The sequence below is a fragment of the Homo sapiens genome, chromosome 5 (assembly GCF_000001405.40).
Source record: "Homo sapiens chromosome 5, GRCh38.p14 Primary Assembly".
NCBI lineage: Eukaryota > Metazoa > Chordata > Mammalia > Primates > Hominidae > Homo > Homo sapiens.
The window spans coordinates 66,775,109-66,799,155 of NC_000005.10; the positions used below are offsets into that span (position 1 = coordinate 66,775,109).

Here is a 24,047-nt window from a genome sequence, read left to right on the forward strand (position 1 = left end):
CTCTTTGATGTCTAAAAGTCTGTGTGCATATGCCCTGTTACAGTGCCTTCAATAGTCACAGTGCTCTTTGTGGATCAAATAATGGGAGATTTAATGCATTTAATGAAATGGCTAGAAGAAAATGACCTGGCTTTCAAGCTTGAGAGATGGCCATTTGGAGGGTGATTGGAGCAACCAAAAGACTACCTTCCCCCAACTCAGCCCACTGATTTCCCCATAAGCATGGCTGAATTTGCTAAAAGGGAATGCTAAGTAGCTGGCAAAACTGTTACTATAAAACATGAGGCATTGACCCTGGAGTTCAGGGCTACTTAATGTCAACTGAGCTTTCAGAAGTTGTCAGTGGCTAAATGATAGACCAGAAATGGAAAGGATGAATTCCAGCCCTACACCTACCATTAATTTTCAAGCATTGCTGAGGCAGTCATGATGCTAATCTTGGCTTCAACTTTTCTCATCTTAAAAACAAGGGCATTGTTTTGTGAAGCAATTGGCGGTTTGTTAGGATTTAATTCAGTGTGCAGGGTTGGATAACAATGGTTCTTAAAAATGGTTCTTCAAAAGAACAATGGTTCTTTTGCTTTGAAACCAGGCAGAATGGGCATTAACTTTCCTCATAAGGGAGGAGGGAGAGCAGGTTACACAGTTCCTAATTGAGATCTGTCACTTCAGAAGTAGGGACCTTTAACAAATGGCCATTTGGAGGCGCTGGGGGAGATGTACTCTGTAGTATTTTTGAGGAAATATTTTATGATTGTGCTCTAGGTTTCTTGCTTATTCATTGATCAATATTGACAAGCATTCCTTAAGACAAAAATATTACATTCTTCAGGTAGCATACATAGATATTGTTGAGAAAGAATTTGAAATCTACTGGAATAGACCTAGCAGGAACTAGAAAGTGTTCCAAAGAAATAGATGTGATTACATGATTATGAAATACACGATTATGTGAATTAGACTGTATGTAAGAGTTTCCTTGTAAAAATAGAGAACGTGTTAGGAAATTTAGACTTGTCTGGAAGTTTCTGCATAGGTTGTGATATGGAGTTTATTTTGTCACCTCTATGGCAGCTTTTGTTCTTTTTGTTTCTCTTGTAAAACTACTGGTCCCCAACTCCTTAGCCTCTGTCATAACTGTTTAGATGTTGGATGGTTGTCAGAAATGTTTTGTGTCTCAGGGTTGCCAGTGACATTTGAGTGCATCCATCAGAGCATCTTGGTGAGCAAAAGAGCGTCATTGAGTAGGATTCATAATTTCTCCAAGAAGTAAGATATCAAATATAAGTTGTCCTCTGGGGTATTGAGGTTAATTAGCTTACCTTGAAAATAGACATTATATTGTGAAGATGGTAGACTCTTTTTGAGATGGTTTTTAGAAGAGAAAATCAAAGCTATAAGAAGTGACACAGTCTTCTCCATATCAAGTTTAAGGCCTCTGAGTTTTCTTCATTACTGTTATCATTATAAAACAAACACTTGAGCCAAACTTAAATATTCTTCTAGGCAGTGTGTGACTAAATAATAATGAAAAATATGATCCTTGGGAGAAATATAAATGAGAGACAGATGGAAAGTCAATACACACAGACTTAAATCTGGTTCTGTAAAGACTAGTGTGTTTCACATGCAGGATATTGTGCTAGGTGTGACGTGGGGCTACAAAAACAGATGAGATGCAGAAGTTACAGTGTAGTAGAACATACTGCATACAGAAATAAATGGCACTCTGTACATGTGCACCCACACACAGCAGTGGGTGGTATGATGGGGGAAGGTAAGGGTAATAGCCTTCCTGGTTGGCACCACTGGCACTGAATCCTGCTTGTGGATTCAATGCCAATGGTGCCAGAATCGGTAAAAGCATCCTGGAGGGGGACCTGAACTATCACTGAGCACAAATTCTGTGTTCAGTTTTGTGCTGGGCACTTTAACATGTGTTACCTACTATCATCATCACTAGAGGTGAGGAAATCGAAGCTCAGAGAGGTCAAGGTATTTATCCGGGACTCTCTAGCTAATAAATGGTGAAAGGAGGATGCAAACTGATGTCTGACTGCTTTTCCATTCTGTACTCCTGAGTCCACCTGTTGGATGGAACAAGAACCAGGTATGCTCCAAGTTCCCAGTGCTGGAAAGAATTTGATCTAATCCGAAGATGACACCAAGGAGGAGGACTGTTGCCAGGAGGAGCTGTTTAACAGTGAAAAGTAGAGTGGATAAAAAGTAATAATTTATTTTGGGCCTTTTGTCAGATGATAGGTTCTTTGTTTACATTCTAAATTCTCATCACCTCGTAAGATTGGTATCATCGCCATTGTACAGCATGTTTATGGTAACTGAGGCTTAGAAGGTTAAGCCTGTCCAAGGTCACACGGTGGATACATGATAGTAGTCAGGGTTTGATTTTAGGATTTAAACCTCGTGTCTGGGATCTTTGGTGATGGACTTGAAATCAACAGTTTGATTTTATGAGTTTAGAAATTAAGGGTCTTTCAAGGATCTGGAGGGGGCAGTGAACACATTTAGATGGAGTGAAATCTTAGAAAGGGTTGCACTGACTGGATTGAGAAGTCAGACTGTGATGGGGAAGAGGAAGAGATGACTCTTAATCATTTGATTATTATTTTAAAGAGGGCCAGCTACTGGTCCTTAGGGAGGTTTTAGAAAGGTGTAGATAAGGCAGCTGGGGAGAGGGAGGATGAGGAGGAAGACAGAGAGGGAGCTGACAAGTAGTTTAACAGCTGTTCCACATACCCACAAAATGACTCTGAGAAAAAATGGTTCTATTTATTTGCTGTTTCCTTCCATATATCTTGCCAGCAGCATTCATCAATATCTGTCATTTCCCAGGGGGGTTAGACATGTCTAGCAATTCATTCTACTGAATTATATTTCAGTATGCGAATTGAGGGAGGCCAGTTTGCAGATGTTAACACTGACCTCTGCCTAGCATTGCTCAGACACCACCACCACCCACTTCTCTGGGTGCCGTCACGCAGGCATTCATTCATTCTCAGCAACACTGCTTGATGTCAGAATCTTGTTACCATGTTCTCATTAGTGTAGACTCTATTTAATACTTCTTTAAAAATCAATTTTAAGTTGTCACATTAGTCTTTGGTCTCTGCAACTGGAGTTTGGGGCCAAACCATTATTTATTTTTTGATAAGAATTTTAAATCCAGAAAAATGCCACCTGACGGACAACTGCCTTGGTGGTCTAGGTAAAACAGGGAGTTGGTGGCCAGGGCTGGGCCTCATTGCAGAATGGGAGAATTTGCTGGGTGTTGGTAAACCCAAAGGTAGTGATGTGCTTGTAATAATAGAAACATTACAGCTTACCAAGCTTTATTGCATGCATTAATTTGGTCCTAATATCTGCCCTTATTAGAATTTGACTGAGAGTGATAATCTTGGTACATAAGAAGAAATAGTTTTTTTATGAACAAGTTAAGGGAAAGTAAAAGAAAGGTCAAATATATTTCTCTTTAAGTCTGACTTTAATGTGTTTCCATTTAAAAATAAACTATGTGTTAGCATTTTTGCCCTTTTGTCATATGGCAAGAGTAACAGGGTGGCTATCTATGATTGAGGGTGAAAAGATGACTTTATCTTTGAATCACCTTGCCATATTACCCATACCAAAAATTATTCTTAACACTGCAGCTCTGGTTCACAGTGGCAGTGGCAGCTTGAGTTTCTGCTCCATAGCCTCATGGTTTGTTCAAAGACCTTGATTTCTGTATTGTAGACATGTATGTTCTGTTGTTTTTCACCCATCCCTAGTTCTCTCATAGCATGGAACTGGGCTTTTTAGTGACTCCTTAAAACATCTGTCAGGTACTTAGTCTGTCTGGGCCCACGTGAAAGAAAAACTTCTGATACCTGTCCCCCTTGCTAGGAGCTTCCTTTCACAGCAGTGCTCTGACTTGCTCACCAGGCAAATTTTATAGTTAGCAATGTTGTGTTGGCATTCTATGTTAAGTATGGAATGCTGGTGATAATATTCTAAAAAGTGAAATTGGGCATCTCTGGTGGATTTAAGTCTTGTGGAAACATAGTTTAGCAAATAAATTTCAGTCTTACAGTCTTAAGACCTTGATGCCCTCTTGGCATCACCCTACTCCCAATACCAGCCTTCCAAAAGACTTACAGCTGCTCTTGGTCCAGCTTTCAGTTTCCTTGTCAGTTGGAGATCATTGGTCAGTAGTCAGTGATGTCTTTGAGCACTTAGAGTCACGACTCTGCTTTGGACTTCCCTTGTGTGAGTAAACACATAGCACTTTTTTTTTTTTTTTTTTTTTTTAAGGCTAGAATAGCAGTTCAATATAGGAGTCAGTGAACTTCTGCACTTTCTGGTCACAGGTCTGTTGGTTTCTCAAATTGTATCCATTTATGCCATTAAGAAGAGTGATTTAGCAGCATTGTTGATGCTGTCTGGGTACGGTCATTCTTTTGCAGTGAGGACAAGAAATTGGAAGTCAGTCACCCATGTGAGTGGAAGATGAAAGAAACCATGTCTCTCTTGCGGGAGCACAGCTGAAGATGAATAAGGGAAGCTGTAATTGCCCATGAGGATGAGAGTCAGGACTATGAGGGAAGAAATGTTTAGGAGTGAGCAATGGGGCAGAGAAGAAGAATCACTTGATGGTGACGGAATTAGGGTGATGGCTGCTGAGTCATGAATTGTGCCCAGATTTAGACAGTGACTCTTTGCGGTCTTTGCCCCTTCTTCATTTCTTAAGTTTGACAGGTTCTTTAAAAACTCATTTCCCCTAACTTATAAATGATTGGGAGGGCTTATGTTATGAAGTATAATTTGCAAAAGCAAGTGGTGTTATAGTTAATGTGGATACCTCCTTTTGGACAACAAAAAGGATCCTCTTATTTTTTTCTTCTATAAGGTACAGTGGTATTGGCCAAGCAAGGGATTGGGGGGCAGGCAGGTTAAACATTGTGGTAAAAAATATACATACCAAAATTTACCATTTAACTATTTTTACATGTATAATTTAACGGCATTAAGTACAACCATCAGCACTATCCATCTCCAGAACATTTTCATCATCCCAAACTGAAACTTTGTACCCATTAAACAGGAACTCCCCATTCCCCACTCCCCCCAGCCCCTGTAAACCACTGTTACACTTTCTATGAAAGAATGCATTTGACTATTCTGGGTACTTCACATAAATGGAATCATACTGTGTCCAGAATTGGTTCCTTCTGGTGGGTTCTTGGTCTCACTGACTTCAAGAATGAAGCTGCAGACCTTCGCAGTGAGTGTTACAGTTTTTAAAGATGGTGTGTCCGGAGTTTATTCCTTCAGATATGTCCAGAGTTTCTTCCTTCCAGTGGGCTCGTGGTCTCGCTGACTTCAAGAATGAAGCTGCGGACCTTCGTGGCGAGTGTTACAGCTCTTAAAGGTCGTGCGGACCCAAAGAGTGAGCAGCAGCAAGATTTATTGTGAAGAGTGAAAGAACAAAGCTTCCACAGTGTGAAAAGGGACCCAAGCAGGTTGCTGCTGCTGGCTCAGGTGGCCAGCTTTTATTCCCTTATTTGGCCCTGCCGATGTCCTGCTGATTGGTCCATTTTACAGAGTGCTGATTTGTCCATTTTACAGAGTGCTGATTGGTTCATTTTTACAGAGTGCTGATTGGTGCGTTTACAGTCCTTTAGCTAGACCCAGAGTGCTGATTGATGCATTTTTACAGAGTGCGGATTGGCGCATTTACAATCCTTTAGCTAGACACAGAGCGCTGATTGGTGCGTTTACAATCCTCTAGCTAGACAGAAAAGTTCTCCAAGTCCCCACTCAGCCCAGGAAGGTCCAGCTGGCTTCACCTCTCAATACAATATCTCACCTTTTGTGACTGGTTTATTTCTTTCAGCATGTCTCCAAGGTTCCTCCATGTTGTAACACAAGTCAGAGGTACCTTCCTTTTTGAGGCTGAGTAATATTCCATTGCGCTCCATTCATCCCTCAATGAATACTTGAGTTGTTTCCTCCTTTTGGCTATTGTGACTAATGCTGCCATGAACATGGGAGTACAAATATCTATTTGAGCCCCTACTTTTACTTCCTTTGTGGATTTACCCAGAAGTGAGATTAAGCAAGGGAGATTTTACTAGACACAGGGAAGGTAAAATGGTGAGAATGTCCCTGCTCCCAGGTTAGTGGTGGGTGTAAACTTTCTGGGAGCTGCTCTGAGAGCTTCAGTAGAGATGTCTAGGCAAAGAGAGGCTATTAGCCAAAACCTATTAACCTATATACCTGTAAAGATATAGGACAAGAGAACAAGGTTTGGCAACAGAGCCTGTGCCCTGTCTGCCTGCTCATGGCACCAATTCAGTGCCAGCTTGCCATTGTTCTTTTTGTTTCTAGTCCCTTAACTTCTGCAGTGCTACCCCTGTTCTTCCTGCCTTCCTTTTATGGCTGTCCTTAAAATCTCCCCAAAACCCTTGAGAGCGATATCTGGGCCACTTCAGCTTCCCCTTTTCCTGGTTGGTACCTTAGAGGGTTGTACACATTTTTTCAGAGTTCTCCTCTATGACTGAGAACCAGAAGTCACGTCAAGAGAGAGCTTTGTTGTATAGTTACTAGGTCTTATTTTCTCTTTGATATCCTGCTTATAGTCCAAGAAAAATCACCCAAAATTTAAGACTATGGATTGGCTACTAAATATATATTGCACTTCAGGTGATACGGAACTTTTTTAATGGAAGCTTTCAAATCTAATCGGGTACCATTATTCCCCAGTGATAAAGTAGATCTCCAGAGGCTATTATTTAATTCTTTATATGGCCATTCTGCTAAAATTATTGCAGACTTGGTATTTTTCTACTTCAGAGGGATACTTCCAGCTTCGGGGTGCTTTGAAAGCATGTATCGTGGCTGGGCACAGTGGCTCACACCTGTAACACTCCCAGCACTTTGGGAGGCTGAGGTGGGTGGATCACTTGAGGTCAGGAGTTTGAGGCCAGCCTGGCCGACATGGTGAAACCCTGTCTCTATTAAAAATACAAAAATTAGGCAGGCATGGTGGTGGGCGCCTGTAATCCCAGCTACTCGGGAGGCTGAGGCAGGAAAATCGCTTGAACCGAGAAGGTGGAGGTTGCAGGGAGCCGAGATAATGCCACTGCACTCCAGCCTGGGGGACAAGAGCGAGACTTCGTCTCAAAAAAAAAAAAAAAAGAAAACACATTCTAGGAGAGGTCATATATAGCCTTGATAGAACCAAGGCATGATCTGGGTCTAGATTCAATAATGTATTTATTTTAATGTACATATAACCATACAAGGCTACAGAACTTTCCACTCTAACTCTGTTAACTAGAGGCCCTTTGGCTAAAACAGCAAAAATAACCAGTACAAGAAGTCCATTCAAACAACCCACACCTCTATGGTTGAGACCTGACACGCTCTTGTATCAATCCGTCCAACTGATTCCAGCTTTAATACAGACCTTTATTTATTGCCTCTAAATTTCTAGTCATGCCAGTAGAAAACATTTGATACATGTTTCAATAAGCATAGTAGAATTTTGGAAACATTTTTCCAAAGAACACAGAGCTAATCCAGTTTCAATTGTAACAACAAGCTCAATTTGGTATTAAAATAGAGCAGCCAGATTGCTAGGCAAGCTCACCTCTCATACAACAAATTAGAAATGGTATTATCCATTAATTTCCACCCTGTGTAGCTGAATAATGCCATTGACAGATGCTAATTTTCTTAAATTGTAGGCAGCAAATGATGCATGAATACGACAGCAACACACTTTTTAGAGGCTCTTGATAGTCATCAAAAAGTGAATTTATATAAAGTTTGATGTAATCACTATCAACTGTGTATCATGTTAGTGCCTTCTAATGACTGTCTTAAATCCATCTGTTGTCCTCTTTTCTCTATTAACACTAATGGGGGTCTAGGCAGGAATAAAATATCCCATGTGTTGTATTAACAGACCCTCCAATTTATAACATTCATATGATTCCTCAGGACAAGACCTACGCAAATAACGACATCTAAAATCTAACCCATCATTGCATTATAGGCATTTCATTGTATATGTATGTAAGTGCTTCCTAATTTTTTCCAGTGGTTTAACAAAATTTTATTTCTGCTCACTTTATAATTTAATGTGTGTTGGGTAGCTCTTGGTGTTTCTTATTTTTTAAGCTTATATTTATTGAGTGTTCATTCTATATTTTCTATTTTTAGATTTTACAACAGCCCTACAAGTTTGGCCCTGTTCTACTCAGGAACTTGAGGTTTGGAGAAGTTCATGTTATAAGTGATGGAATCAGTTTGGGAATTTAGAATAGGAACTCAGCAGTCTGACATTAAAGTCAACCACAACTAGAGCAATTAATTTTTACCATTACTGGCAAGGATCTCTCTATCCTGTTGGGCTTAAAGAAGGTGTTATATAAGAATATGGGCTAAGGACAGATCAGTTACTGGATGTCAAAGCCTTGTCTTTTGCGTTAGGCTGTTGAGGTAACAAAGGAATTGAGGGCACACCTTTGGTCTTGTTACCAAGATTGGACTTTCACGAGATGGCCACAAATAAAATGTACATAATCATGTTAAATTGAGTGATTTCAGAGAAGGATGAGATGGCATGCATGCTTGTTCTCAGTGGTCTCTGCTTGCTTTACAATATCCTGTGAGACGTAACAAAACTGCAGTATTGAAAGCGTGGCTCAGAGTGTGGGGAGAGAAAGGGCATGGCTCAGGTGTTCCTTTCTTTGTGTTCCCCAGCAATGGGTGCTGGTTCTGGATTCTGTTCAGAGTCCAACTTCTTATTGAACCATGCTTGGTCTCATTGAGCCAGGGTCCTAGCTTATGAATTTCCTGTACTGAGGCCTTACCTGGGAGTTATGCCTGCTTTGTTCTGCCCTCCCACTGGCAGGGAGCCTTTCCCAGTCCCTGTTGCCTTGACTTTGATGTTGAGATTCCTTGTGGTACCTCTTTGCTCCCATTCCCCATCAAATCTCTCCCCTGGCTCCTTGCTTTTCAACCTAGGACGTAGGAGTCCTCCACGATCACCCAGACCTCTGGGGTCCCTGACCTGGGCCATAGGAACTACCATCTTGAGGAGTTGAGGGAATGTGCTCCTGGCCAGTTTGCCATGCAAGAATACAAAACACATTTTTTGCTAGGAATTATTAAAAGTAATATTATAAAATATGTACAGAAATTAATAGAGAATAATTCTATACAACCCCATATACCTATCAGCCAGCTTTATCAAAGCTTAATATTTGCTACATTCTCCGGATACATTAAAAAATTTCTTATTAAATTTGTTAAAGCCACAAGTCAAAAACTTAATTCTTCATTTACACTTCTAAGTTGAAGTAGCAAACCCTGTTATTCCCTGCTGGTAATTTTTAAAATAATAAAATATGACAGATCTACCATACTCCTCCCTGCACCCACCCCTCATTTTTTCTGCCAGAGATGACTACAATTCTGAATTTGCTGTTTATCACTTACAAGAAGAAATATTAATTGTTTCAATATCTTTCAATATTATTCTTTTGTGTGTGTGTGACCCGGCCTAAGAACCCAGTTACCGTGTTTTATTCTGTTGCTGTGGTGGTGGTGGAGGATGCAGGTCTTACGATAATATGAAGTGTGACAGTACATTGACTGCTTTTCCATGTCCTAGGTGGAGTGACTAAGTGTATTATCTCCTTTCATCTTATCTGCCACTTTGTAAGGTATTATCCCCCTTTTAGAGATGGGAATATTGGGGGCTTGGAACTAAATAAGTTGCTCAACTGCATGTGACTGTAAAAACTGGGTTGCAGATTGAGCATAGCGGCTCATGCCTGTAATCCCAACACTTTGGGAGGCTTAGGCGGGTGGATCACTTGAGGCCAGGAGGCAGAGGTTGCAGTGAGCCGAGATTGTGCCATTGTACAACATGGTAAAACCCCGTCTCTACTAAAAACAAAAATTAGCTGGGCGTGGTGGTGCGTGCCTGTAATCCCAGCTACTTGGGAGGCTGAGGCAGGAGAATCGCTTGAACCTGGGAGGCAGAGGTTGCAGTGAGCTGAGATTGCGCCATTGTACTCCAGCCTGAGTGACAGAGTGAGACCCTGTCTCAAAAAACAAAACAAAACAAAAAACGCTAGGTTGCAGACCCATTTGTGCCTGATGCCAAGCCTGTGGTTTGAATCACTCTGCTCCCATCTTTCCAGGTGCTTTTCTCTTTATAAATAATATATGTTATTTTGTGATTTTTGTATAAATATAGAATCATTCTGTCTTAATTTATAACTTGTTCTTCACCTAAACATATGTGATGAATATTTTCCTGGGGTAGATGGGGCTTTCGAGTCAGAATCTTGATTTTTGCCCATTTGTGTAGCTGTATCCTCTTGCCTAGTTATGTACCTCTCTGGGTTTAGACTGGAGATAATCATACCTATCCCATACGATTGTTAGGATGTTGCAGTACCTGGTATATAATAAGGCCTCAATGTATTTTAGCTATTACTTTATACTTAAAAAGGAAGTTTAAGAAAATTATCTGTTCAGTGGTTTTCTTCCTTTTGAGACTTGATCAGTATTGTTCTAATAGTATGGTTTCCCTGCATTTCAGTCAACAAACATTTATTGAGCATTTACTAAGTGCCAGGCCCTATAACAGGTACTGGGGATACAGAAAAGAATAAACTTATTTCCTCACATCAGGAGAATTATACAGAGACAGTCTAATAATTATTTTGTTTTGTATTATTATTATTATTTTATTTCTTGAGATAGTGTCTCACTCTGTCACCCAGGCTGGAGTGCAGTGGTACAATCTTGGCTCACTGCAACCTCCACCTCCTAGGCTCACGAGGTCCTCCCTTCTCAGCCTCCTGAGTAGCTGGGACCACAGATGTGTGCTACCACACCTGGCTAACTTTTTAACTTTTTGTAGAGACGGGACCTCACTATGTTGCCCAGGCTGGTCTTGAACACTTAGGCTCGAGGGATCCGCTCACCTCGGCCTCCCAAAGTGTTGGTATTACAGGCGTGAGCCACTGTACCCAGCCTAATAATTATTTTCTACTAAAGGAAAAAAAGATTTTTCAAATTCTTCACTGAGTAAAAATACTTTGCCTTTAATTTTTTCTATTTTACATTAAATTCTCCCAAGTTTTTTTTTTTTTAATCTACGTTCAGTTTTCTTTAAAATGAAGCATATGGAGGCAGAACAACAGTGAGGCTATAGTGGGTTCTCTCCATCATATAAACTGTGGCATCATGTAGCTTCTGTACCTCTCAATCATGCCCTTTTCCAAAACATGAACAAAGAAAATGCAAATAAAATACAAATAAATAAATACAAATAAAATATAGAAAATGACATAGGAGGGAGGAAAAAGTGGATTCAGATTATTAGAGGTTTTTATATTTTTAACAAGTGAGTCCTTCAAATACTGAGTGATTTCTGTATTAAGGAAACCATTTATTCCTGTAATATTAATGCAGCATTCCTAAATGCACTCTATAGTTTTCCTGCTCTTCCTCATTAATTACCTGCCTTTGGGCCTACAGGGGACCGATTTCTCAAAGCCGTTCTTAGTTCAGCTTTTAGTGCACATTTCAAAATAAGGAAAGGAAAAAATTAAAATTCTAGGCTTCAAATGCAACATACCTTGCCCAAAAATATGTCTGAATGTTTTTGAGATGGTGATCAGAACCACAGAAGTTCACTGTCATTGAATTTTCAATGATAGTGTTAAATTAATTGACATTTGCTACATTTATTTGCTTGGAAAAAATCAATCTATTATGTAGGGTTGGCAGGAAGCAGGTGACAAAAATCAGTATCACATTTTTTTTGCAATAAAATATAGGTTGTAAAAAGAAAGTCTAGAGGAAAATCACTAAGGTGTTGATAGTGGTTTTATCTGGTGTGATGATAGGTAATTTTTGTTCCTTTGTATATATTTGCATTTTCTTCTTGTGAATGAAAAGCCCATCCCAAATAAAGAAGATACTTTTCATTTTTACTGCTGTTATGGCTAAATAGTTAACATTTACTGAGTACTGTACTTACAAAATTCTCTGATCCCCTCAATAACTTTACATAGTCAAGTCTATCACCCCCATTTTAGAGATGGAAAAATCAAGTCCAGGAGAGATTGACTAACTTTCCCAGTGTCATTCAGCTACAGAGCAGGATTTCAAAAGAAGATCTAATTTTTCTCCAGAGTCTGTGCTTTCACTCTATAATAAAAGAGTGAAAAAGCAATTCTGGCAAAAGAAGCCATTTTTTCCTCTGCAACTAAAATACAAATTTTTGAAAGCACTTGACTTAAATAAAGCAGTGGACTTCTTCACATGGACAATTGATGGGAGATGCCCCTAGCTCCTGTGCTTTGACAGTGCTGGTAGTTAGCGTGTGCAGTAATGGTAAACTAGTTAATACACTGCAATCGTTATTAACCAGTACAATGTGCTTGTGAGATGCATGCCTGAGGGAAAAGCGAGGAACAGATGTTACCTGTGCTGCAGGGCCACCAGCTACGCATGCTGCAATCCCTCATGATTCTGGAGAGGAATGAGGCTGGGGTCCCCAACACATGGCCCTAAGATGAGATTCTTTGTGTGGTCTGCTATCTTTTCATTGTCTGTTTTTTTGGAAGGAAATGTGTACATGTCCTTTCATCATTTAGTAAATATTTATTGAGCAGCTATTATGGCCAGTAATTCTGCTATTATTGGGGCAAAGCAGATGAAAATTAAACACAGTCTCTACTTTTACTGACCTTTATTGCTATATGAATATTCATGTCCATCCTAATTTTCCTGAAGTCAAAAACTATCATTTCTTGTGTGTTAATATTAGTCAAGTCCATGTACCAAGGAAGTAATGTAGTGTGAATTGGTTCAGCTGTTTGACTTTTAAAAACATATATGTATATATTAGAGTTCAAGGTTGATGGAAATTACTCAGTGAACCTAGACTGACATTGATGTCCTGATTTATGCAAATGGATATGATTATGTATCCCACAGACACAGTTGGATGGCCACCTGCACTTCAGAGAAAAAAGGAGCTGGGGGAGAGGCACCAGCCCCATTTCATCTTGAAAGAATTCTGTTTCCTTTTGTTGGTCATGATCTCCACTTTGTAGATTATTTTATAATTGAGTCCTAGATCACTTTCCATATTAGATTTTTTCAAAGAACACTTACAAATGCACGCGCTTACTTCTGTGATGCTGAGAATGCTTTGTGTACTTATATATATTCTCAACACATTCCCTTGGTATAGGCAGACGGGAAAAAAACACCTCATCCTACCTTGATGAGGCTACACTCATGCAGGAGATGATGTTGGAGGTCAGGGCCAGACCCTGCCACTGGATCTCCTGACTTAATTAGAACAAGTTTTCCCAGGTTGCTATTAATGTTATTACTGGGTATGGCAGAAGTAATACAGAACAAGGTTGGCCAGGAAGAGACACCCCACCCCCACCCCCATTGCAATAAGACTACTACCGGCTGCCTGTCACTTACATTTTCTTCTCTTTAACTCCAACAGGGAGGTACCTTCTTCCAAACCCGGTGGCGGGACAGGCCTGGCCGGCCTCTGCAGAGACGTCCAACCTCGTGCGCATGCGCAGCCAGGCCCTGGGCCAGTCGGCGCCCTCGCTCACCGCCAGCCTGGTGAGTGTCCGCGGGCGCCGGTGGAGGCTGCTCCAGCTCACCACCTCTCTAGGGACAATTTAAGTTAATTGAGTTTAACTATATTTAAACTTACCCACATGTGACGTTAAGCACATATTTGGCAATGTGGAATTCCTTGCTTTCAATGTGCTAATTTCTGCACCTGTACCCAGTTTGGAGGATTTCTCTCAATTTTGGCCTCATCTCTACCCTTCTCCCAAAAGAAATGAAAGTATTTCTAGGCCTTTTTGTAGCTTTTTATTTTGAAATAATATAAAACTCATGGAAAAGTTGCAAGAATAAGAAAAATTCTTAGAATACCAGTTTATCCTTTATCTAGATCTGACTAACACCTTGCCCAATTAGCTTCATAATTTCCTTTCTCTTTGTCTATGTGTGTATGTATGTGTGTATGTGTACATACACACATGATTTTTTGAGGTATTTGAGAGTGCATCATCTATATATTATAGACCTTTGTTATCACAGTTATCAACTGGAGTAAATTTATGACTGATACAGTCCAGTTATCTACTCTGCCATCTGTATTTCAGTTTTATCGATTGACTCATTAATGTCCTTTATAGAATTTTCCCTCTCCAGTGTAGGATCCAGTCTAGGGTCATGTGTTGCATTAAATTGTCCCTCTCTTTAGTCCCCTTTAATCTGGGATGTTTCCACAGTCTTTGTCTTTTATGACATTTGACATTTTTGAATAATTTTTTAATGGCTTATTTTTAAGGGAATATTTCTCATATTTGTTTGCTCTCTCCTCATGGCGAGATTCAGGTTTTTGCATTCCAGGCAAGAATACGACACTGGTGATGTCAAGTCCTCTTAAGGAATGAGGTCTGGAGGCCCATCACATCCATCTGCCCCTCTCTGTGATGTTAATTGTGATCATCCAGTCAAAGTGTTGCCTGATTTCTCCACTGTAGTTACCACTTTCTCTCCCACAATCTATGAGCAACCTGGGAGGTACTTTTAAGCAATGCAAATACGCTTTTCATCAAAATTTTCCCCAAGAATCCATTGATGATTCTTGCCTGGATCACTCTTTTCTATGTTTGAAAATGGTGATTTTTCCAACTTCAGCACTCTCCATAAATATGTGTGTATTTGTTAGCAGCATGGATTCCCACATTTCTATTTTTACCCCGGTGTAGACCTTTATGTTTAACATGCTTATTAGAATTTTTTTTTTTTTTTTTTTTTTTTTTTTTTGCTGGTGGGCCCTTCTTTGTTTTGGCCTTTGGCTCAGCTTAGAAGTCTGTACAAGTTACTTTTGCATGGGTGGTAGGGTTGTATGATATGGAAATAGATTTTAAACACCTTTTATTGATGAAGATGCAAATGATATATAAATCAATGTATTGTGTCTTATAATTTTATGCATTGGTAATAAATTATGTTGGATATTTGGAAATAATGCAGTAATGGATGCAGATTTTGTTCAGGTCTAGCCTCTAGTCCTGCTTTTGCCATTAGATAGCTGTATAAACTTGGACAAGTCCGTTTCTCAAATTCTCTCATCTCATTTGTACTTGTAAGATGAAAAGAGGCATTAAACAGTCTATAAAGTCCCTTTCTTCTCTGGAATTTCCTGATTCTTCTTTCAGAATAATTTTGAATGTGTGAAATAATTATCTTTAAAGAAATTTCTTTCAGGATAGTTTATGACTTCAAAATTGACTATTTAAACCAAAATTCATATTTTTTCTCTCATGAAAATATTGGGACTTTTAGTTCATTTTTATTTTCATTTTTAGGGACAAAGTCTTGCTTTTTTGCCCAGGCTGGAATACAGTGGCACCATCATAGCTCACTGCCACCTCAAACTCCTGGGCTCAAGAGATCCTCCTGCCTCAGCCTCTTGAGTAGCTGGGACTACAGGCACATACTACTGTGCCTGGCTTGGGCTTATTTTTAAAAGATACAATTAACCTGATGGTAGAGAGCATTTTCCTCCATCCCATCCCCAAGTCCAAAGTGACTTTTTCTCCTTAGGGAATTTTATTAAGAGCTTATTTTACTCTGATTATTTACTTTTTAAGGAAAGAGGAAAATACTTCACAATTCATGATTTTTTTTTGACAGAAGTGTTTTTTAGCTGCTGCAACATTATTCTTTACACCTAAATAGTAATCCTGTATGTTTATCGCCAAGTCAATCATTGTAATTCAAACAACACTGTCACAGAATAATATGTTTTCTTAAGTAATATATCTTCTTTTTGTTTGTTTTTTGAGATGGAGTTTCGCTCCTGTTGCCCAGGCTGGAGTGCAGTAGCACAGTCTTGGCTCACTGCAACCTCTGTCTTCTGGGTTCAGGCGATTCTCCTGCCTCAGCCTCCCGAGTAGCTGGGATTACAGGAGTACACCACCACGCCTGACTAATTTTTGCATTTTTGGTAGAGACGGCGTTTTGCCACGTTGGCCGGGCTCGTCACGGACTCCTGACCTCAGGTGATACGCCTGCTTTGGCCTCCCAAAGTGCTGGGATTACAGGCATTAGCCACCATGTCCAGCCATTCTTAAGTAATCTATCTTCTTACTAGTACTAACAGTCACATACCAAGAAACAGAAACTGACTTATTCATTGATGAAATGCATGTCACCTGACCTAAGATATTTGGGAAGAGGTTGCAGTAAGAACTATTAATAGAAAACATGAGAAGAGTACCTCCCAAAATCTATCAGATGACATTGTTATCAAGGAATCACTTAAATTATTAGCTTGTTTACCTGCAGGTTTTTATGTTTATAGTGTTTGCTTAATATAACTCTGGGGAAAATGCTGAAATACCATGTAGAAAAAACTTATAATAGTACCTGGCATATAACAAGTCACAAATGTTAGCAATATTATTATTTCTGTTGTTGTTATTGTATTGTAGGTAAGCTTGGGCACAGAAGCCAGAATGTGATTAGTCATTTACTACTAGATAGTGAAGGTTTAAAATTTAACCCTTATCTTTCCCTTTCCCTTCAGAGAGTTCATTAGTTCCTAATTATAGTCTACAGAAAACTATTTGCCCCTCACCTTCTGTTGTATTAAGAGCAGCAGCCAGAGGAGAGCTGCCAGACAGACGACCATCTTGATTTCTTTATTAATCTGCTGCCATGTGCCCAGATTTGGATGCCATATCACTTATTTTGACGTGTCACTCAAGTACATGTTAGTGACCTTTCCTGCTTTTGGTACCACTTGTCGAACCACACAGCTAAAGGGGCATTAAAGTTGATCTGTTTCGTGTTTCTGCCTCATTTAGATTGGATTATATCAAAATTATCTCTGCCGATTACAACTAATAGACCTGAGAGAGAATTGTGCTGAAGAAGTGGGAATGTACACCTTGTATAATTTTTTCTTTTTCCTTCTTCTCTTCAGCTTTCTCTTTTCCTTGTCTTCAAACAAATTGACATTTGCGGAGGTGCGTTGTGCAGTAGAACATTCCTCATGCTGATGATCCTCTCCTCCTGGCCTCTCTGTCTACCCCTTGCCCCTGTCGTAGAGCTGTAAGCCATCCTTCCCCCGACTCCGCCTGACATGTATCATGGCACACCTTCGTTTTTGTTCTTTGTGTTTATGTCGAATACCTCCCTGCTAGACTGCAAGCCCCTTGAGGGCAGAATTCTTGTCTGATTTTTACTTTCTACTTTTCACTGCTCTCAGGACAATGCCTTGCACATAGAAAGCATTCAGTAAATAATGTTGAAGGAATAAATAATTATTTATGGAAAAGTGACTTTTTTTTTTAGTTGCAGGTTGAGCACGATGGTGTGATTCTTCATGCTGTAATGGGTGACCTAATAAGACCATCCATCTAAAATCTCTATGGCTTTGCTGTCCAGTGTGCATCTTACAGTTGTGATTGGCCTTAAAGTCTATGATACAGGCTAAATCCCATTGAGTTTCACATCAGCCACTCAAAAAATATGGTGACAAAATTTGTGAAGAGATTATTAGTGTCTACATTCAAGGAAATTTCATTAGTCTGCTTTTAAGCAATCATATAGTCACATTTGTTTATATATTTTGATTCATTGACTAAGTTGAAGTGATGTGTGTGTTCAAGTATGGGGGGGATTGGAAAAACAAGGAACCAAATTGGTTTATGTCCAGATGATAGCATTATACTCAATATAACAGTTCCGTGCCCAATTGCAACAAAATACATTTCAGAAAAGTATAGGCCCTCAACGTGAGAGGTATTAATATGTTAGTAAGATATAAATGAAGGCCCTGAGGTTTGGTAGGTATGAATTTTAGTAAATGCATGACCTTTAGTGATTTAAATGCCATAGGCAAGCTTGAAGGTATTGCTAACTACCTTCTCAAGGAGGAGATTAATTCCTAGCCTGAAGTATCTAGTTTTCCTTGGCTATGCTAAATATAGTTGTGTTCCCTTTCCCAGACACATTGGGCATTTCAGATAAATGGCATGTTGCCAGTTCATCCTAAGTAGCCTGGTAGCTGGCAGAATACATGCTCAGCCAGTGTCCGCCTGCTGGGACACCAGCCGGGAGTGCTGATGAAGTGTCAGATGTATACTTCATATACATTAATCTGAAGAGGGGAAAACTCATTTTCCCATTTGCTTCTTCCATCTTTCTGTCCCTCCCCACACACATGGGTAGTTTATCACAGAAGTCATAGTCGTCAAAAGCCAGGGGATTTATACAGATGCTGCTTTCTGGCAAGAAAGATGGAAATTTCAGGAGGCAAAAGCAGGACCAGTGGCAACTTATTTCTTTGTAGGAAAATAAGGGTGTAAGCCTTGATGATGGAAGTTTAAAATGGCTACGTGGCCATCATCAGAAATATTCACTCCATTTGTACTTGGGAGTAATAGATAGATGGCAGAAGCACCATGAACATTAGTTTCTGGTATTTTTCTCCAATTTTCTGGTTGGTTGGAATCCTGTGCCTCATCTTTTTTGTGTGAAGGTTTCATTCACATTCTTCCCATTGAGGTTTTCCTTGACCATCCTGTTTCAAACTGTTCCCTATATTGCTTGCCACATATTTCATTTCCTTCATTCATTTTTCGCCATAGCTTATCACTGTCCAGTATACCATATCGTTTGCTTATTTTATTATATATCTCTTACTACTCTAATGTAAATTTCATGAAGGCAGAGATAATTCTGTTTTCCAAGCTGTCTCCTCAGTGCCTAGAATAGTGCCTGGCACATAGTAGGGTGCTCAGTGAACTTGTTGAATGCATAAACATATGTCTCCTTTCTGTACATTTTCAGTGCTCTAGAACAGACTCTTGTATATTTATGGTTTTGTTTTTAATCTGTGATAAATTTTTTGCTTACATTATGTAGCCTTACTAAGAAGCTATTCTTCAAGCCAGAGAGAAATTAGTTATGGAAACCTTATTCAGGAATTAAGCTGTAATCATTCAGTTAGAAAATGAGAATGAAAGGGAAAAGCAGAGTGGTTGAGAGCATGGGGTGCCTGAGCTCAACTCCAGCTTCTGCCATTTATTAGCCTCAGTTAGGGCTGACTGTGTAGACTTCAGCTTCTTCCTTTGTGTAGTGGGGCTAATGGTTGTAATAACCTCAGAAGGTTATTGTGAGGATTAAATGAATGAACTCTTGTACAGTACTTTGCATAGTGCCTGTCACTCAAGAAATGCTGTCATCAATGTTCTTGGGGTTGGTAGAAAAAGTGTTTCTTGGAGATTGTGAGGTAGCTTTAGGTGGGATGGTATTATCCAGAATGGAAGAAAACAAGCACTTTTCCCTTAGATCATTTGAATTGAGGTAGGAATTTAACCTTTTTGTCCTTACTTGCATGATGTGGGAGTAGCTTGTTTCTTTCTTTCTTATCTTTACTCAAAATGTGCCAACCAAACTGAAAAATATCTTTCTAGAATTCTTAACTTTTTTGAAGGGACAAGGTGCTTTCAAATGCTATATTTTAACTTTTAAATATTAGGTTAAGTGGCTTAATTTTATGTTTCTTTAGTGGCTGTCTTTTGACATCGTATACGTTTCTTTCAATGGAGAAATTACATTTCATGATGTTCTATAAATATTAAAACCAAACTATTTAAACTGTAATATATTCAAAGAGCCTTGATGAATATTCATCTTTTCCATTTGCAAAAAAGAAATGCATTATAAGAAGTCAGGGAAAATTTACTAAATGTATGCAAAAGTGTATTTTTCCTTTTTAATTCATTCAGAATGTAGAGACATAATGTCAGCATTTATTTAGGGTACAGACTTTATTTGCAGTCATTTAGTATTATATCAATACTTCATTAGCCTTATAGCTCAAAACCAAAAACCTGATCCGAAGTCTAATTAGTTAACTCTGAGAGAGTATCTGTTAAATATTGATGTAGGAACAATTTGAATGCCCTTGAATAAATTGCTTAACCAAAGTTGTAGAATTCATCTATGAATTAACATTTCTCTATTGCCATTATGACTCAATTTAAAGGCTGCATAATATTCCAGTATGTGGATTTATCATAATTTACTAAACTGTTCCCTTTATGTTATTTCCAGGTTTTTCCTACTGCAAATAATGGTGGTGAGTGGATTTTAAATAAGTCCTTATTCACCTCTAATGATTTCTTCAGGTAGATTCTTGGAGTGGGATTACTGGGGCAAAGAATATAAGCATTGTTGACATTCTCCATAGCTCTTGCTAAGCTGTTTCTAGGAATGCCGTACAAATTTATACTTTTAGATTGGTAAAGTGCATCTCACTATACCCTGGTCAGCAGTCAATAGTGTTATCTTTAAAACTTAGTTGGTTTGGTTATAAAATTATTCTTTTAAATTTATGCTTTAGTGAAATCAATATGGTTATTGGACCTGTTGAACTCTCATGCTAAAGTCAGTAGATAAAGCGAATGTGAAATTAGGATTATCTGTGCTGCCTCCTATAACATCTTTCCTTTATTCCCTAAATCAGCTTACCAAACCAACTGTTGGTAACCTGTATTGCTCTTGGGATACAGGAACTGCTGAGTGTGATTACAGTGTGTGTAGCTGAAGGCATTATTCCACAGCTCAGAATTTTTTTTCATCTGGAAAGTAGTAATCTCAATTGTGAAATAGTGCCTTCAGCTGTGGACATTATAATCAGAGTCTCTGGAGTGCTTGTATTCGAGGAGTAATACATCTCATAGTTATTACCCTCTGAGCTAGGTTCTGTTTATAGTGAAGGGATGAATTTTCATAACTCAGTGCTGAAATAGCAGTAGGGAGCCCTGAGCAGATTATTATAGGTCAGGCCTAATCCATGAAGATAAATCTCATTATAGGCTCACCTGAGCCCATCCACAGAGTAGCTGGTTTAACATGAGTCTGTAAATCAAAGATCAGCTTAAAATGAAGTGTAAAATCCTCTCTGTAATCCAACTGCTATCTCTGTGAAAAGATATTCTAAATGTGTATTCTGATTGTAAACATGGCTGGCTGCCCAATGGGTAATTAGTAGGCATGTGAAGGGTATTGCGATTCGGTCTAAGAACGAGTGAAGAACTACATATTTGAGGGAGAAGTTTATTTTTCCTAAAATGAAATTCCACTCAGCGCAGTCACTTAAAATGTCCCCATGTCTTAGTTTTTTTCTTCTTTTCATTTTGCAGAGGTTAAAAAATGTTCATTACCTTCTTTAGGTGTTGTCCTTCCTGGAAAGGATTGGGCACCAGCTGGAGCAGCTCTCTGCATGGGTCTCTGCGTGGGTGTGCCTGGAAAGACCAGTCAAGTGTGACTTCCTGTTATCAAAGGTCCATTTGACAGTGAGGCGAATGGTGTCCATATACATTATGTGGGATTTAAATAATAGAAACACATGCCCTCTTTTAATTGTTTACCATCACAGAGGGGAGCAAAACAAATTTGGAACAGCAATACTACACATATATGTACGTAGATCTCTGCATGTTAGAGCTTATTTATTACCTGTTTACCCAACTGGTGTGCCAACCATTTAGGAGGTCGACAGCTTGTCCACCAAGTATGAAGAGATGATCCATAGGGTGGTAAATGCCTGCACCTAGCTGTCCTATTCCTTACTGTATCTGTAGCACCAAGGACAGTGCCTGGTCTGTGGTTAGTACTTAGAAAATAGTTGTTTATGAAAGGAACACTGAGGAGATCTTAATTCTGTTTCTGTCATTTTCAGAGGCTCCTGGTGCCCAGACTAGCTAAATGGTTAGGCTGTTCAGGATTTTACTGGTTTCCGTGTCTGAGGAAATGATTAAAATAATGTGGCAAAGTAGTGACGGCCACTGTTATGGAAATGCCCACTGGTGTGGACAGGTTCCCCTCTGGTGGACTGCTGGGGTGGCACAGCTTGTCCTTCTGGCATCCTATTTCCTCCTTTGTTAAAATACCAGCATTGACGTGTTTGCTATCTTATTCTCAAAAGAAACCAAGAAACCCATAATAATTAGATAGCGGTTTGTTGGGGGAAAGATTTTGGGATGTAGCATTTCCTGTCTTGGGAAAAATGAAAAATTATCCTTTTACTTCAGAGACTTCTTAGGAAATCCCTGGTTATTGTGGCTCTGGGAAAACATGCCTCATTATGTTTCCTATCTTGCTTTTTCTAGATATAGTTTTGTGGTTAGTATAATGAGTAGTAGTGGTAATTATACTTATTCCGGGTTCATTGGCACCTGAAGCTTCAGTCTACTCTGGGATTCTGAATCAGTGTGTTCCCCAGGATGCTTATTGATCAGTTAATTGGCTATTAATGGATTCCCTCTTATTTGACTAGTATGAAAATCTGTGCGAAACGTGGTCTTGCTTTTAAGGAGCCTATAAACTAGTTGCAAGAAGACTTTTGGGAAATCCAAGATCAAGGTGGAAGCTAACAACATGCTGGAGAGTTTGCAGCCATGAGAATTCATAGAAGCAGAAGAAAGACTTGACCTGCAGGTGTCTGGGAAAACTTTGCAACTTGAACTGAATGTTAAACGTTGAGTAGGTTTTGGTTAGGCAAGCTTCAAGGCCAAGTGGAAATTGCATACAGTGTGATGGGTGGGGAGTGGTAGATAAAGGTGGACAGTGCAGTGGACAATAATGTTTCTTCTTAATGTGATATTTCTAGGATAGTTGAGAAGGCAGAGGAACCACCTGAAAACTCAGAGGCTCATGTGTATCAGTGATGATGAAATGAGTTCTGACTTAATCTGCACCCTAGAATACCACCACCACCACTCATGGTGATGCCATATAAGGTGGATGGTGAGCCTTCACTTCATTTTCCTAAGTTAAGCTAGTCTTTTTAATTTAGGAAATCTCCAAGGTGGAAAGCATGGTATTTTCCGGTACTTTAGCCAAAAGGAAGTAAGTCTGTGCATTTGTTAGATTCAGTGGCTACATATTCATCATGACCTACTGGACTGTGAGATCTTTGTGATCTGACACTGGTAATTTGTTTTTAAGTGAAATGTGGAGTAGTGTGGTAATGTCCAATTTAGTTACTTGGGATCTACTAAATCTTTTATTGTTCAGGGTACATCAGCTTCCATTAAAAAAAGTCTTCAATAATGAGTGCTAAGTAGTGGCAGGCATTTTTACAAATAATATGTAGAGGCATAAAGCCCTTGCTCAAGTTTTGATAATTCTGATCCCATACTAGGACTGGCTGTCATTCCAAGCCCTAGTGCTTCTACAGGTTTGTTTCCTCAGATCCCAGACTTCTGTTCCTCCTGTCTGTCATTTACTTATTTGTCTCTGAATCTTTGTTTCCAAGATGATTCACCAACAAAACTTGAATTCTTCTCTGGATGGCGTATGTTCTAGACAGTCTAAGAATTGAAGGTACATTACTGTTTTCACAGTAGAATTCTGTATTTAGTGAGTAATAATTGGGTTCTAGTATGTCACGGATGAATCTGTAACCCTAAGAAAACAGGCGTATACATTTATCATTCTTTTCATAAGAATTAATGCCTGTTCTAGTACTCTTAAGTATGAAATATCTCTTCATTGCCTGTAACCAACTTGTTTTCCTTTGATTAGAGATGCATCCTGCCTTGTTTATATGGGTGCTTAGTTAGGTTTGTACGGGTATTTCTTTCCTTGTTTGTATAAGTGTAAGTTGACATTTTTCCCCCTTTGGTTCCTAAATACAGTGATGAAGTTTAGCTTTATAAATAATGTTGAACAAGTGATACTTTGTACCCCCTTTTTATAAAGCTCTGATTTTAAAGTCATCAGTTAAACTTTTAAAAACCTCCGAGTTTTGTTCCTGTTTTCTGGACACATTCATCTCCTTGACAGATTCACATGATGGAGGGTTGAGGTTTCTCATCTTTATGTGCTTCTGGAGTTTGTCAGAATAATGGGTGGTAGTAAACCACCTGCCATTCGTT

The 24,047-nt window shown here is 39.2% G+C and overlaps 1 protein-coding gene across 10 annotated transcripts in view, besides 1 other annotated feature; it reads left to right on the top strand.

Annotated features, from left to right (window-relative positions):
• Window positions 1-24,047, top strand: part of MAST4 (microtubule associated serine/threonine kinase family member 4) — a 573,201-nt gene that overhangs the window by 178,716 nt on the left and 370,438 nt on the right. For all 10 annotated transcript variants that reach the window (XM_024446044.2, XM_047417157.1, XM_047417158.1 and 7 more), the window contains one exon: window positions 13,562-13,686. In XM_024446044.2, the coding sequence (XP_024301812.1) occupies window positions 13,562-13,686 (125 nt within the window). The remainder of the gene's footprint in view (window positions 1-13,561; window positions 13,687-24,047) is intronic.
• Window positions 4,806-6,005: an enhancer, noted in NCBI's record as "BRD4-independent group 4 enhancer chr5:66075742-66076941 (GRCh37/hg19 assembly coordinates)". NCBI's record gives its function as "activates an origin of replication core promoter dependent on BRD2, P300/CBP, MED14 and CDK7 cofactors, and independent of BRD4, by STARR-seq in HCT116 cells {active_cell/tissue: HCT116}" and the evidence as "EXISTENCE:reporter gene assay evidence [ECO:0000049][PMID:35650434]".